Source organism: Homo sapiens, chromosome 1 (genome assembly GCF_000001405.40).
Source record: "Homo sapiens chromosome 1, GRCh38.p14 Primary Assembly".
Classification (NCBI taxonomy): Eukaryota; Metazoa; Chordata; class Mammalia; order Primates; family Hominidae; genus Homo; species Homo sapiens.
Genome location: NC_000001.11, coordinates 12,508,342 through 12,525,069, shown reverse-complemented (window position 1 = coordinate 12,525,069; position 16,728 = coordinate 12,508,342). Strand labels below are relative to the sequence as shown.

The 16,728-nt window shown below is 46.8% G+C and overlaps 1 protein-coding gene across 2 annotated transcripts in view, besides 1 other annotated feature; it reads right to left on the bottom strand.

The window, feature by feature from the left end:
* The window catches only part of VPS13D (vacuolar protein sorting 13 homolog D), a 282,018-nt gene continuing 278,312 nt past the window's right edge, over positions 13,023 to 16,728 (bottom strand). For both annotated transcript variants that reach the window (NM_015378.4, NM_018156.4), the window contains one exon: positions 13,023 to 16,177. In NM_015378.4, coding sequence (NP_056193.2) covers positions 16,046 to 16,177 — 132 coding nt within the window. In that variant the 3' untranslated portion in view covers positions 13,023 to 16,045. The remainder of the gene's footprint in view (positions 16,178 to 16,728) is intronic.
* Positions 16,160 to 16,661: an enhancer, noted in NCBI's record as "H3K4me1 hESC enhancer chr1:12568463-12568964 (GRCh37/hg19 assembly coordinates)". NCBI's record gives its function as "activates a minimal SCP1, AML or CMV promoter by ChIP-STARR-seq in primed H9 embryonic stem cells {active_cell/tissue: H9 hESC(primed)}" and the evidence as "EXISTENCE:reporter gene assay evidence [ECO:0000049][PMID:30033119]".

Here is a 16,728-nt window from a genome sequence, read left to right as displayed (position 1 = left end):
ACTCCCCCATCTCTACCTTTCTAATGCTGCTAACTGGATGCTCTGCAGGGCCCCATGTTCAATGTGTCCAAAGTGAAACCCGTCACCTAAGATGGCCTCCCAGTTCTCTTTTTTTTTTTTTTTGAGATGGAGTCTCATTCTGTTGCCCAGGCTGGAGTGCAGTGGCGCGATCACGGCTCACTGCAACCTCTGCCTCCCAGGTTCAAGTGATTCTCTTGCTCAGCCTCCTGAGTAGCTGGGACTACAGGCGCCTGCCACCATGTCCAGCTAATTTTTTGTATTTTTAGTAGAGACGGGGTTTCACCGTGTTAGCCAGGATGGTCTTGGTCTCCTGACCTTGTGATCCACCTGCCTCGGCCTCCCAAAGTGCTGGGATTACAGGCGTGAGCCACCGTGCCCGGCTATCTCCCAGTTCTCTATCTCAGGGAGCAGCCAAGGCCGGAGGCACCTTTACTCATTTAGGTCACTGGCTTCCTGTTCTCAAAGAGAAAATCTCTCTCTGCTCACTCCCATTCATGCCTCTTCACACCACTAACTCTTTTTTTAAAGCTTAGCTTGGCCATTACCCTCCTTTCACTCTGCATGATTCTGAGCTCCTCTAGGTGGCTTTGTGTGTCAGCAGTTTGTGGGTTTTCATTGCTGCGTAGTATTCCAACCTTATGGTATACTATAGTTTGTTTATCATAAAATGAATTGGAAAGTGCTTTCTTCTCTAGTGTGGATTTGTGTAGGGTTGATAGTAATTTTTCCTTGAGTGGAATTCACTCAAGTGAAGCCATCTGGGCCTGGATTTTTTGTGTAGGGGAAGGTTTTTAATTAAAAATTTAATTTCGTTAATAGATGTAGGGCTATTCAAATTTCCCGTTTCTCCTATGAAGTTTTGTAATTTGTGCCTTTCAAGAAATGTGTCCATTTTATCTGCATTGTTAGATTTAAAGGCAGGAAGTTATTCATAATATTCCTCTGCTATCCTATAAACATCTAGGATCTGTAACAATGTTTCTCCTTTTCTCCCCAGTGTGGAATATTTTGGGGAGATTGTGGGGGGGACGGAGAGAACCAAAGCCTAATCCTCCACAGTAGAAAATCAGTAGACCACACCTGCAATTGGAAAAAAAAAATGCAAAAATAGGTGAAAACATGATATTTGGAAAAACAGAGTTAAATACAAGAAGACATTGGAAAAGAAGTCAAAGTAGCTGCCTCTGGGGACAGGATTAGTGTGGCGTGGGACACGGTGGGGCACAGGATTGGAAAACAGTTCATTCCAAGCTCCCATAAAACTCCAGTTCAGGGCTCTTTCATTCTGGATCTCCCCTCACCCACCTGTCCTTCCCTTCCCCAATTCAGGCTGCACTGAAGATGTTTCAGTCCTTTGCGGAACTTCTCTCACCAACTCCATAAGGGGCCTTGGCTTAGTCTGGTGGTCCCAATTGTCAGACCCAACTCCTCTCCCATCTCCAGGGATGACAGACATTGGACATCCGCCAGGACCCTTACCTTGGACCAGTGGTGTGCTTAGTAGGCTGGAAGCCCATAGAACTCTTCTGAGTTTTTTTTTGTTTTTTAACTCTTCCTTTCTCAATATGACAAAACTACTTTCAATGACAAAAACAGCAATTACCTGCCAGGCACGGTGGCTCACGCCTGTAATCCCAGCACTTTGGGAGGCCAAGGCGGGCTAATCACCTGAGGTCGGGAGTTCGAGACCAGCCTGACCAACATGGAGAAACCCTGTCTCTACTAAAAATACAAAATTAGCTGGACGTGGTGGCGCATGCCTGTAATCCCAGCTGCTCGGGAGGCTGAGGCAGGAGAATCGCTTGAACCCAGGAGGCAGAGGTTGCAGTGAGCCGAGATTGTGCCATTGCACTCCAGCCTGGGCAACAAGAGTGAAATTCTATCTCAAAGAAAAAAAAACCCAGCAATTACCTCTGCAGCAACCTAATATCTTCACTAATACTAATGAATGAAACAATAAGAATAAAATAAATGTGGATGGTGAAAATTTTTTATTGAACTTTAAAAATACACAATCACAGTACAAAAGTATGACAGTACAAAAGGGCACAATTACTTACTCTTATTACAGGTTTTTTGTTGGTTTGTTTGCTTTTTTGAGACAGAGTCTTGTTCTGTTGCCCAGGCTGGAGTTCAGCGGCGCGATCTCAGCTCACCGCAACCTCCGCCTCCCGGGTTCAAACAATTCTCCTGCCTCAGTCTCCCAAGTAGCTGGGATTACAGGCGCCTGCCACCACGCCGGGCTAATTTTTGTATCTTTAGTAGAGACGGGGTTTCTCCATGTTGGCCAGGCTGGTCTTCAACTCCTGACTTCAGATGATACGCCCGCCTCGGCCTCCCAAAGTGCTGGGATTACAGGTGTGAGCCACTGCATCCGGCCATTGCTATATATTTTTTATATTTACTTAATGATTTGAATTTTGGTCTTTTGGTGATAGCCCTATATAACAAATGTCTATTTAAATAATTCTCCAGTAACTAATAAGTGGATTTTAAGAAGATCATCAGCAAAAGGTACACTGAAATTGTGGCAATTATAAAATCATACTGCTAACATAACAATTTTCTTTACATTTCATGGATGAACTAAAATTTGCACTTACCAGACAAAAAGATTGCCCTTCCTAGTCTGGATTCTGTTTCACTCTCTAAGGTTTTTTTTTTGAGACAGAGTCTCTCTCTGTCGCCCAGGCTGGAGTGCAGTGGCACGATCTCAGCTCACTGCAACCTCTACCTCCCGAGTTCAAGCGATTTTCCTGCCTCAGCCTACTGAGTAGCTGGGATTACAGGTGCGCACCACCATGCCCAGCTAATTTTTTTGTTTTTTTAGTAGACATGGGTTTTCACCATGTTGGCCAGGCTGGTCTCAAACTCCTGACCTCAGGCGATCCACCTGCCTTGACCGACCTCCCAAAGTGTTGGGATTACAGGCATGAGCTACTGCGCCTGACCTCACTCTTTAAGTTTTAAAACACAAATAAACTGCAAGTGAGGTCGGGTGCAGTGGCTCACACCTGTAATCCCAGCGCTCTGGGAGGCTGAGACAGGCAAATCTCAGCTTGAGGTCAGGAGTTCGAGACCAGCCCGGCCAACATGGTGAAACCTCGTCTCTACTAAAAATACAAACATTAGCTGGATGTGGTGGTGCATGCCTGCAATTTCAACTACATGGGAGGCTGAGGCAGGAGAATGCTTGAACCCGGGAGGTGGAGGTTGCAGTGAGCCGAGATCGCATCATGGCACTCCAGCCTGGCAACAGGAGTGAAATTCCGTCTCAAAAAAAAATAAATAAATAAAATAAAACCGCAAGTGGTCACACAGAATGACAGCATTGAAGCAACTCAAGTCCCATTGCTTTGTCTTAAAATCTGTTTAAATGCAGGAATATGTTGGAACAGGGGGGTTAGGGACTCCACTGTGCCCCGAGCAAGCCTGAACAATTCCAAACCATTAGAACATTCTCTTGAAATGAAGGTGTGTTAGCTGAGTCCACGCTTGGTGGGCAAACCACTGCATAACCGGCAGATCTCAGAATTAATGTCCACGTGGTGTACAAGATTTACTAAAGGAAAAGTACTACAGTGTACTAATTTAAAGCTTGCCTACATATCTACTAAAACTCACTGGAATTTAAACTCACTAAAGATTTTTGAGGGGAGGAGAATTTTATCTCCACCCCAAATCTCCAGATTTTGTTTAGAATTGCCAAGAGCACAGTGATAGTAAAAAGCAGCCGGCTTTTAGTCCTAGTTTTATTATTGTTTTTTAATTGTTTGCAGGCTGGATCTGCACTCTCTCCAGCACGCAGGCTCCTACTCCCACCGACCGCCCTTGTAAGTCACTGTCATGGGCCAAAGTTCCATGGCCACTGTGTCATACTCACGATCTCTCCTTAACCTGCCATTGGTGCTTCATTCTGCCTAACTTTGCTCTGTCTGAAATTCCAACAAAACTTACAGGCAATGTCCTCTACATTGTTGAATACAACATATGTCTTACTTGGCGTTTTAGTGCCATGCAATCCAGTTGACTGTGTCTTCCTTCTCGAAGCACTGTCTTTTTTTTTTTTGAGATGGAGTCTCACTCTGTCACCCAGGCTGGAGTACAGTGGCATGATCTCGGCTCACTGCAAGCTCCACCTTCCGGGTTCACGTCATTCTCCTGCCTCAGCCTCCCGAGTAGCTGGGACTACAGGCACCTGCCACTGCGCCTGGCTAATGTTTTTTTGTATTTTTAGTAGAGACGGGGTTTCACCGTGTTAGCCAGGATGGTCTCGATCTCCTGACCTCGTGTTCTGCCCACCTCGGCCTCCCAAAGTGCTGGGATTACAGGCGTGAGCCACCGCGCCGGGCCGAAGCATTGTCTTCTATTTTGCCAGCCACCTCTCCAGTTGCTCCTTCGCCATCTCCTTTGCTCGTGCTCCTACACACATCCATCACATGCTGGAGCTCCTTAGGGCTTGTCCAGGCCCCCTTCTCATCTCAAATTCTACTCTCATTATCATCAAATCTGCCCCCATGGTTTAAAACACATCACTGGTTGCTTAAGCTAGAAACCCAGAAGCTACCCTTGATATTTCTTTTTCCCTAATCTCTCTCTCTTTTTTTTTTTGAGACAAGTCTTGCTCTGTCTCCCAAGGTGGAGTGCAGTGGTGCAATCACGGCTCACTGCACCCTTGACTTTAGGACTCAAGTAATTCTCCTGTCTTGGTCTCCTTAGTAGCTGGGACTACAGGCGTGTGCCACCAGGGCCAGCTAATTTTTTTTTTTTTTTTTAGAGATGGGGTCTTGCTATGTTGCCCAGGCTGGTTTTGAAGTTTCAAACTCCTGGGCTCTGGTGATCCTTCCGCCTCCATCTTCCAAAGTGTTGGGATTGCAGGCGTAAGCCACGGTGCTTGGCCCCTAATCTGTGCATGAAATCAATCTCACTGGTTTTTCTGTTCTCCCTCAAAAACATATCCGGATTCTATTGGCTCCCTTCCATCTCTCTGCCCCCATCCTCATCCAAGCCTCCTTATTTCTTGCCTGGGCTATTGCAGCTGCTCTCCACTACTAACTCATGCTACCCTGTCTCCATCTGCAGCCAGACAGGTATTTCTTTTGCGATGCCAACCTCACTGTGGAACCCTCTGCTTATAGCCTCTCCTAGCGTGGCTTACAGAGTCCAACATGACCTGGCCCGGCTGCGCCCCCCACCTCCTCTCATTGTGCTCCAGCTAGTCCAGGGATCCTGGGACTCAGCTGTGCTAAGCAGGTCCCTGCCTCAGGGCTCCAAAAGGACACTGTCCTCTTCCCGGTGCCTCATGAACTCTCCTCACTCTTGCTGGACTCAGACCATCTGCCTCTTTCTCGGTTGAGTCTTCCCTGTCACACCCTGACGTCCACCACTAGTATAGCTAGCTCAGTGAGGGCAGCAAGAATGCCACCCTATTCACTGTACATCCACGCATCCAGTACCGAGCCTGGCACCCAGTACGTGCTCAAGAGCAGGGGCTGGAAGTGCCTCCCTGTTGCTGGAGGGGCAGAGGGTTAGGTTCTGTAGCATCAGACTCACGTGTGTTGTCTGGGAACACCTAGGGATGCTCGATCTCTGTGGACAAACCATGGAACAGATCGAGAGTTGCCTTTCTGCAGGCTTTGCCAAGCTTCCCAGAAGTCTCTGTGTACCCCTTAAGCATCTTAGGAAAATACGCCCAAAAGGCAGGAATTTTCCCTCTAAAGTGGCCCTGGGAGCTGTTTCAGCACCCGCCCCCTCCCAGCACCGCCCCCTCCCGTCTCCCACACACCCCCTCCCTTGGGGGCTCACTTGCCCGGGGTTTCCAAGAGCCAAGTTGGTCTAGATTCACACATTTCCTCCAAGTCAAAACGTACCCGTGACCTTTCTGTGCTTTTGAGTCAGACCAGAATAAGCATGAGGTGTGAAGTTTTATGAGCCCCTGGGAGCTGCTGACGCTGGCCGTGCTCCTTGGGTAAGACTGTGGGAGAACACGATCTGGCTCCCCTCAGCGACAAGTGGGTTGGCCCCGCTCCTGGGCGTGGGGCAGGCAGCTCTGCAGTGCAATTGTTCCAGCGTCAAATCCTTCTGAAGTTCCAACTGGAGTATTTGGAGGAAGCTTAATTAAGACTGCTGTGTTCTTCTTTTTCCTTTCTTCTAACTTTGTTTACTTTAAGCACTTACTGCACTTCCAAAGGATATAGCTGGAGTTAGAGACTCTGCCCCGCAGGCCACTTGAAGATGCAAGGCAGTCTCTCCCACACACAAAATAAGATCCTGTAGGACTTAATTCAGATAGTCTACAAAGTTCTGTGTGTCTGTCTGTCTATCTCTATTTGTATGCCTCAAAGAGATAATATACTTTTGTTTCATATGTTCATGGAATATTTATTTATTTATTTTATATGGAGTCTCGCTCTGTCGCCCAGGATGGAGTGCAGTGGCACGATCTCGGCTCACTGCAACCTCCGCCTCCTGGGTTCAAGCAATTCTTCTGCCTCAGCCTCCCAAGTAGCTGGGACTACAGGCGCACGCCACCACGCCCAACTAATTTTTTTGTATTTTTAGTAGAGACGAGGTTTCACCATATTGGCCATTCTAGTCTTGAACTCCTGACCTCATGATCTGTCCGCCTCGGCCTCCCAAAGTGCTGGGATTACAGGCATGAGCCACTGAGCCTGGCCCTGGAACATTTACATAAACTGATCAAGTACTTGGACAATAAGAAAATTACAATGAATTTTTTTTTTTTTTTTTTTTTTTTTTGGTCAGAGTCTCACTTTTGTTATCCAGGCTGGAGTGCAGTGGTTATGGCTCACTGCAGCCTCAACCTCCCCGGCTCAAGGGATCCTCTCACCCAAGTAGCTGGGACTGAGGCACGCACCACCACGCCAGGCTCATTTTTGTATATTTTGCAGAGATGGGGTTTCGCTGTGTTGCCCAGACTGATCTCAAACTCCTGAGCTGAAGTGATCCGCCCACCTTGGCCTCCCAAAGTGCTGGGATTAGAGGCATGAGCCCCTGCGCGCAGCCCAGATGTTTCTAGAGTGTAGAAATCTTCAGGTTACATTTATTTACTGATCACAATCCAATAAAATTCAAAACATTAATTTAAAGGAGATAATTTGGCTGGGCACAGTGGCTCATGCCTATAATCCCAGCACTTTGGGAGGCTGAGGCGGGAGGATTGCTTGAGGTCAGGAGTTCGAGACCAGCCTGGCCAACATGGTGAAACCCCATCTCTATTAGAAATACAAAAAATTAGCCGGGTGTGTGGCATACCAAGTCCCAGCTACTCGGGAGGCTGAGGCAGGAGAATAACTTGAACCTGGGAGGCGGAGGTTGCAGTGAGCCAAGATTGCACCACTGCACTCCAGCCTCGGCGACATAGCCAGACTTCGTCTCACATAGATAGATAGATAGATAGATAGATAGATAGATAGATAGATAGATAGATAAGATAATATTTGGAAATTAACAAGTAGGTAATCCTTAGATCAAAGAAGAAATTAAAAGCAAAATTAAAGACTACATAGAAAGCAATAAAAGGAGAATGCTTACTGCCAAAATTAATGAGGCAAACTGAGTACCAGAGGAAAATTTATAACCTAAAAATGTCATTATTATTCAAGAAGAAAGATGAAAAAAATACAGCACTACACAACAAAATACTTACCTTAGAAAGCAAGAATAGTAAAATAAATCAAAACAGGCCACGTATAGAGAACAAAAGATTAAAGATGTGATCAATAAAATAACAAAAAGTAGCAAAGAAAAGTACATTTCGAACCGGTTCTTTGAAAAGAACACTAACATCCTCAAAAACTTAGTTATGAAAAAAAGGTAAAAACACGCAAGATAAGGAATGAGAAAGGAGAAATAACCAGATATGAGGCCTCAAAATAATTTTAAGAGAATACATGCAACTGTACCAGCAACAAATTCAAAAAGTTAAGAGAACTGAATGATTTAAAAAAATCAAATGTTACCAAAATTGACCTATGAAGAAATGGAAAACTTGAATACTCCAATAAACAGAGTAGAGTGTGGGATGATGATTAAATGGCACCACTGAAAAGAGTTCTAGCCCAGGCGCAGTGGCTCATGCCTGTAATCCTAGCACTTTGGGAGGCCGAGACGAGCGGATTGCCTGAGTTCAGAAGTTCGAGACCAGCCTGGGCAACACGGTGAAACCCTGTCTCTACTAAAATACCCACACACAAAATTAGCCGGGCGTGGTGTCGGGCGCCTGTAGTCCCAGTTACTTGGGAGGTGAGGCAGGCGAATTGCTTGCACCCACGAGGCCGAGGTTGTAGTGTGCTGAAATTGTGCTACTGCACTCCAGCCTGGGTGACAGAGCTAGACTCAGTCTCAAAAAAAAAAAAAAAAAGAGTTCTAGGCCAGGCTCATGTCTATAATCCCAGCTCTTTGGGAGGCCGAGGCAGGAGAATTACTTGAAGCTAGGAATTCGAGACCAGCCTTGGCAAAAAGCGAGAGACCTGCCTCTACAAAAAAGAAAATAAATTAGCTGGGCATGGTGGCATGTGCCGGTGGTCCCAGATACTTGGGAGGCTGAGGCAGGAGGATGGCTTGAGGCCAGGAGTTCAAGACTACAGGGAGCTATGATCATACCGCTGCACTCCAGCCTGGGTGACAAAGCAAGACCTTGTCTCTTAAACAAAAGTCAGGTGCAGTGGCTCACGCCTGTAATCCCAGCACTTTGGGAGGCCGAGGTGGGTGGATCATGAGGTCAGGAGATCAAGACCATCCTGGCTAACACAGTGAAACCCCATCTCTATTAAAAATACAAAAACAAAATTAGCCGGGTGTGGTGGCGGGCACCTGTAATCCCAGCTACTCGGGAGGCTGAGGCAGGAGAATGGTGTGAACACAGGAGGCAGAGCTTGCAGTGAACCAAGATCGCGCCACTGCACTCCAGCCTGGGCAACAGAGAGAGACTCCGACTCAAAAAAAAAAAAAAAAAAAGGGGGGCCGGGCACGGTGGCTCACGCCTGTAATCCCAGCACTTTGGGAGGCTGAGGCGGGTGGATCACGAGGTCAGGAGATTGAGACCATCCTGGCTAACGTAGTGAAACCCCGTCTCTACTAAAAATACAAAAAATTGGCCGGGCGTGGTTGCAGGTACCTGTAGTCCCAGCTACTCAGGAGGCTGAGGCAGGAGAACGGCCTGAACCCGGGAGGCTGAGCTTGCAGTGAGCCGACATCGCGCCACTGCACTCCAGCCTGGGTGACAGAGCGAGACTCCATCTCAAAAAAAAGTTTTATAACCCAAGGGTTTACAGCCCGCTTTTATCCAAGCTTTGAAAAACAGAACAGAAAATTCTAATGTAATTTAAGTATTGTAAGCCAAATGGTGTTAAGTTCCCCAGTCCATTCTACGAAGACAGCATAATTTTCATCCTAAAGTCTGATGAAGAGACCGGGCACAGTGGTTCATGCCTATAATCCCAGCACTTTGGGAAGCTGAGGCAGGTGGATCAGTTGAGTCCAGGAGTTTGAGACCAGCCTGGGCAACACAGTAAGACCCGATCTCTACTCAAAATAAAAAAAATTAGCCAGGCAAGGTGGCACACGCCTATAGCCCCAGCTCCATGGGAAGAAGAGGTGGGAGGATCGCTTGAGCCCAGGAGTTCAAGGTTGCGGTGAGCCAAGACTGAGCCACTGCCCTCCAGCCTGGGCAACAGAGTGAGACCCTGTCTCAAAAGAAAAAAAAAAAAGGTTACTCTGAAAAAAAGAAAATTATAGGCCCCTTTCACTTAAAAAGTGCCAAGACTCAAAATATTAGCAAAAAGAGCCAGGAATGTATCAAAAGAATAACAAACTAACACATTTTATCCAAGTGGAATCCATTAATTCCAGGGATTAAGAGTGGTTCCATATCAGGAAATCTATCAACATGTTACTTAAACAAAAATTAAAGGAGAAGAAACAGTATAATAATAAACTGTTCATAATAACAGATGCTGAAAGGCATTTGCTATAATTCAGCAAATGCCATTCCTAACAGTAAATCCAAATGCCAACAAACAAAACGATGGTCAAATTCGCTGCTGGGGACACGCAAGATAAAGTAACAATGAACTATCACTTCGTACCCATCACACAGGTAAGAGGCGCAGAGATGGGTGCTGCCCTTCACATTCCTACCAGCACTGGGGGAAAGTGGTCCGGAACATACCTCCTAACTAATCAGCTCCCGGGAAAGGACTGCACAGAAATAGAACTGGCGTGTAAATGCATACATAGGAGGGCATCTATTGCAGTGTTGATCTTCGGGGCAGGGTGGAAGCAGCTGGAAAGCAAAGTGAATGCCCATTGAAGCAGGAATAGGTGAGTAAATTATAGAACACTTACATCATTAATGAACATGCAGCACTTCAGAGAATAAACTAGAGTGATACCAGCCTGAGGGAACAGTGAGAAAAAAAAGCAAGTCACAGAACAGTGTTTAATAGATTCCATTTTTGTAAACACAAATGTTAGGAATCTATGAATATGTATATCTGCTTATGAAACCATACATAATTATATAACGTCGTGAAAATTTGGGCGACACACAAGGTTATTAATTTTGAGGTGGAGTGGATGGAATAGAGAGGGGCGATATAGTGGGGGGAGCAAAAAGGGAAGACTACTTTTAAAAAGTGTCAGTAGGATTATTCAGCAGTGAGTTTTTTTTGACACAGTCTTGCTCTGTCACCCAGGCTAGAGTACAGTGGTGCAGTCATAACTCACTGCAGCCTTAACCTCCTGGGCTTAAGTGATCCTCTTGCCTCAGCCTCTCAAGAAGCTGGGACTGCAGGCATCCATCACCATGCCCGACCTTTTTTTTTTTTTTTTTTTGTAGAGACAGGGTCTCCCTCTGTTGCCCAGGCTGGTCTTGATCCTCCTGGCTTGGCTTCCTAAAGCGCTAGGTTTACAGTCCCTTTCTTTGGTCTTTATGATTGCTTTTATCATGCCCTCAGCCAGAGAGCCACAACTTGGATGATCTTCAAGACCCTTGCAGATGCGAGTGCAATCTCACTTCCAATTTCCTGAAGAAGTGCTCTTCCAGGTTAATCCAAACTTCTAAATAATAATGAACATGCTTGGGTGTGTTTTCAGGAAGCACTTTCTGTTATTAGGGTCTTGGGATGCAGTGTCCAGTGAACAGCAAACATCAAGTATCTCTTACGGTGCTAGAAATCACATTCTTGGTCTAAAGAGCTGGGGTGAAAGCTGTGTTTGCAGCCAACCAATACCTGCAAGACGGCTTGCTGAATTTGGCTGAGGAAATGGAAGATCGTCATACACATACCCTTTCTATGTCAATGACATCCCCATGCCCTGGAGTGCCTGGCTGGTTCACTGTCAAACACTGACTGTCCCACTGCATCTGTGAACCCCTGAAAAGAGTCTAATTGTGTGCGCGTGTGGGGGTTGTTAACCACACCTTCCACTGTCTCTCCCACTTGGAAGGGGCATAGTCTTCAGAAGCTGTGCTTTGGTTTGGAAAGCGTAGCCCCTCCCTTCTCTAGGCTTTTGGATTTCTGTTGACATTTTGTTCTGATTGGCTCTTGGCCAGTTCAACTGGGCAATGGTGGATGAGGTACTTGAATAGGTGAGGGGAACATTTCTTGATTAAAGCCAGTTCTTTGCCTGTTCTACAACACTGAAGCTGTGCAGCTACATGTGGCCGGACAAGAATACAGCCAGGCTGCCCGATTCCACTGTACATTCACGGTCATCAACGTCAAATGGGTCCTTAATGTCGCCCGGCAAACATACCATGCTTCTGTGGCCTATTCCCTTTCCCGTTACCCTACATGACTACGTGCACCTTCTCTCTCTCCAAATCAGCATCACTTCCCGCCCTGTATTCATTCTTGCCTGATGTGAGAAATCAGGAGCAATCAATGGAATCTCAAGCTCCCCCACCTCCACCCATCTTCCTGGCCCGCCAGGCCCTCTTCTCCCTTATTCCTTCCCTGCCCTCTTGAATTTCCGGTCAGTTCTCTCCATTTATGGCCAGATTCCTGTAGAGAGCTGTTGTTATTTCTCTCCTTCCATTTTCCTCTTGAATCTACTCCAACCCGGCTTTCACCTCCAATGCTCCATTGAAACAGCTCTTAGAAAGGTCTCTAGTGACTTCAGCATTGCTAGGTCCACTGATAATTGTTGGTCCGAATCCCACCTGACTTAGTAGCAGCCCTCGGTAGTCTTTGAAACCTTTCTGGCCTCAGCTTCTAGGATCCATACCCTCCTGGTGTCACTCCATCTCTGGATGATCCTGCTGAGCCTCCTTTGCTGTTTTGTTGTTGTTGTTGTTGTTGTTGAGACAGAGTTGCCAGGCTGTTGTGCCAGGCTGGAGTGCAGCGGTGTGATCTCGGCTCACTGCAACCTCCGCCTCCCGGGTTCAAGTGATTCTCCTGCCTCAGCCTCCCAAGTAGCTGGGACTACAGGCGCCCACCACCATGCCCAGCTAATTTTTTGTAGTTTTAGTTATACACATAATTATATAACGTGGTGAAAATTTGGGCGACACACAAGGTTATTAATTTTGAGGTGGAGTGGATGGAATAGAGAGGGGCGATATAGTCGGGGTTAGAGATGAGGTTTCATCATGTTAGCCAGGATGGTCTCAATCTCCTGACCTTGTGATCCGCCTGCCTCAGCCTCCCAAAGTGCTGGGATTACAGGCATGAGTCACCATGCCCGGCCTCCTTTGCTGTTTCTTCTTCAGCTGCCTAAACCCTAAGTGTGACGTCTGTCCTGCTGGGGCTTGGACCAGGAACCTCAGAATGGACTGATCAGCAGCCAGTGTAGCGCGGAGACTACTACTTACTCTTGGGAGGCTGAGACTGGTTAAGGTGTGGGGGTGCTTCCCCAGGCCTGGGGGCAGAGGCCACATTTTATTGTGAACATCACACTATGTTTGGTATTTGTCACTGGTGATAGCTCTAGAAGCTGTGGATCACCAAGAGACCAGAAGAAAACAAAAGAACAAGTTTGGGAAGTCCACAAGGCATTTTATTCCACAGGAAGAAAAATGATGACTCTGATATGAGAACCAGACTCAAGAGTCTTCACACACTGGTGACTGTAATAGTGTTTACATAATAGAGAACCAGATATTTTTAGAATTTTATCAAGCAGCTACTATGGTATTTTGAGGCCCAGATCATACTTACAAACAAAGTGGCCCTGGAGCCTTCAGAACATTGCGATGAGCACCCACCAAGCAGCAAGACACTCTTGGGATTTGGGGAAGGGGCCGCTTGTCTGTTTTCCACTGTGTAGTGACCAGGCCCAGGGGCTGGGGAAGCACTGGCCTGGCTCACCCTTCAGTGAGCACAGAGAAGCAGCGACAGCCAGGGAGTGACACGGGTCGGCCAACTGTGCTGGGTCAAGGGACTGGGTAGCTTTGGATATCTCCTTACCCAATTTACTCTTATTCCATTTATTTTACTTTCCTCAGAGACGAACTGTGTGTTTGAAGCAGAAAGAAAAGCAGTAGAAATGATCTTAACAAAGTCTTAGGCATTGCTGGCTGAATATCAGTTTACAAAGAGACGGGGCATTTAAGGAGCCAGGGGCAGGGCCTGTTTCCTCCAAAGCTTTGGATGTTTTCCTGGTGAGAACCAGGAGGGGATGTCAAATGCCCCTGAAACCTTCTGGCCTTGTCTGGCCCAGGGCTGCAGGGCAGGGGAGAGCTGAGAAGTGGAGCAGCTCGCAGTTGGCCCTCCCATCTCCCACCCAGCCCCGCCCTAGGTGGTCTTTGGATTCCATTTTAACATCTGCCTCTCCTAAGGTGCAAATGTCAAAGTGCTTGGTTGTGCAATCACAGGAGATGGGCAGCTATTTAAAGAGCTGATTAAAATTAGAAAGGAGCCCAAGGGGGGCATCTGAACACTTCTCTGGATTCCTCCTGAAGCACCAGCCCACAGGGCAGCCCGCAGCTAACTTCCTCAGTCAGGTCTGAGAACACCCAGCACTGCTGCGGCCCAAAGCAGATTTTCTTAGTAACACTAAACTCCTTAATCTCATCAAGAGATTTCAAGTGACTTTGTTCCAGAAGGTGATAGAAGGCTCACTGACGCATACAATCAACCCTTCCGAGAGTCTCATCTTTTAAGAGATCATGATCTCAGGCAGTAGGTTACTGATGACAAAAACCACAAGCCAAACCTGTGGGGGTGCAAGGAGGGAGGCTGAGGAGGAAGCTGCAGAGGAGCTGCCATCTTGTGCAGTGCTGTATCCTGCTGCCATCTTGTGCAGTGCGTGAGTGCTGAGACAATCATCACCACCCCCCAGCAAGACACACACAAACTAAAACTCACCCAGTGCCGCAAAAGCCAAGTTTCCATTCTGCAATCCACTAACTTGGAGTTCAGCAAAGGCAACCAAGCCTCGGAGTTCAAGAAAGCTGATCCTTGAACACTATGTAGCTACTTGTGCTAAAGCTCCCTTCCTTCCTCTCTGCATGCACGCGCGCGCGCGCACACACACACACACACACACACACACACAGACACAGACACAGAGGGGAAGTGGGAGAGGAAAGGGAGGGGAAGAAGATTAGCTTCATTTGTGTCTTGGAAGGATTTGGGTCATGAGTTATAAACACCAAAACCTTCCACGCATCCACTGATCCACTGAGTCATCCCAGACTCAGCTACATGTGACAAGGTTGTAGAAATTGATTAGCTTTATTAAAATAAAAATTTAAAAATCACAAGGTGACTCATTCATTCTAAAGTGAGGCCCCTTTTCCCTTCTCCCTATCTGCTTAATCCTTACAGAAAAGCGAAACACCAAAAACAAGACCCAGGGCGCTCATACCAGGCCTTGCTCCCAGCAGGAATTTAAAACCAAGGATAAGAGATGCCTTTGTCAAATCTTGGTTCCATGAAAAACTTACCAACGCAGCTTTTTAATACTCCTATTTCATCCCCCTTTCTGGAACTCTCCCTGCTCCCTTCTCATCCTGGGGTTTCCATCCTGTGTCCCCTCGGGCTGTGGAGCTACGATGCCTGCCTGTGGCTTTATTAAAAAGAAAACAGTCCCGGGGCTTTGTTCTTGGTTGTTGCTGCCCAGGCAGGAGAGCACTTTTATGTGGATTTCTGATTTGTTGCAACAGTTCAATGGGACTTTTTTTTTCCTTCTCAATCAACAGAGTTTACCAATGTTTCCAACCTCTCTAATAATAATAACCTGAGAAAACTTACAATGCTGACTTGCACCCATGTGGTAATGGAGCACAGGTTTCCCCCTAAGTTTGGTAAGACTAGTTAGGAAAAAGCCAAATGGATAACTTACATCATAATTTGTAAGAATCTAAGCACTCTTTGTAAAATGGGGGTGAGAAATTAAAAGTGGGCTCCCAAGCCCCTCTCCTAGATCCTTCTGAAGGGCCAGCGCCAGTCCTGGGTGCCACAGCTCACAGCCCAACTGGACAGCCACGATGTCAAAGGCGTCCCTTTCAGGACCACAGCCCTCACCTCAACCCACTTTACTGGGAATACTTTAGTCTCCAAAACTAAGACGTAACATTCTTTAACTTTTAAGAATGCCTTTCTATAGACAGTATCCTGAATTAGACATCTAGAATTAGTGCAATAGAAGATCCAATATAACTTTATATTACTTTACAGTTAACAAACCTTTACACATAGCACAGACCCTGTTCAGAAACGTTCCTATATATTTACAAACACACTGTTGTACATATATACATGTTAACAAAATACAGGGCAATCTAAAAATTAGATTCATCTCAGTACATGTTTTTAAACGTTATTTAACCAATACCTTTAAAAATTATTTCCCATAATCTAAAATAACTCCCTGCCTCACAAATTAATACGATTTCCATTTGTACTTTTCCTCATGAGGATTTACTTTCCCTCATTCCTTGACAACTTCCCCAAACCCGACTCCGGTTCTGCCTCCATCGTCAGCTGAGAGCTGGGCCTCTTTCCTCCTGGTGGGTCTGCGCTGTGTCGGGAGCGCCCATCTCAGCAGCGGGGCTTCAGGAGTCCAGCTCCAGCTGCTCTCGGTTTTCGCTGAGTCTTAACATAAGCTGCTGTTCATAGTAGAGGCTCTTTGCGTAGTTTATTTCTTGTGACAACTTGACAGCAAGGACCTCAGATTTCACATGGACCTAAGGAGGAGAACAGGATGGGTCACCTGTCCCCAGGATGGGGAAATCCAGGAATCAGATCCACCCAGGTGGCGGCTCCCAGCCCAGCTGCATCTCAGGATGGGATGTACACGTCAAAGAAACAGTGATGGCCAGGGCTGCTCCTGCTTCACTCGCACTCACAAGTCTGGGGTGGGTCCCTGCAATTTTTTTTTTTTTTTTGAGACGGAGTCTCTGTCGCCTAGGCGCAATCTTGGTTCACTGCAACCTCCGCCTCCCGGGTTCAAGCGATTCTCCTGCCTCAGCCTCCCGAGTAGCTGGGACTACAGGCATGTGCACAGCTAACGATTTTTTTTTTTTTTTTTTTTTTTAAGTAGAGATGGGGTTTCACCGTGTTAGCCAGGATGGTCTCGAACTCCTGACCTCGTGATCCGCCCGCCTCGGCCTCCCAAAGTGCTGGGATTACAGGCATGAGCCACTGCGCCCAGCCGGTCTTTTTAAACATTCCCCAGGACTGTACAGCCAACCCATACTCACCTGACATTTGGGAACTCCCCCCCACGGCCATAACT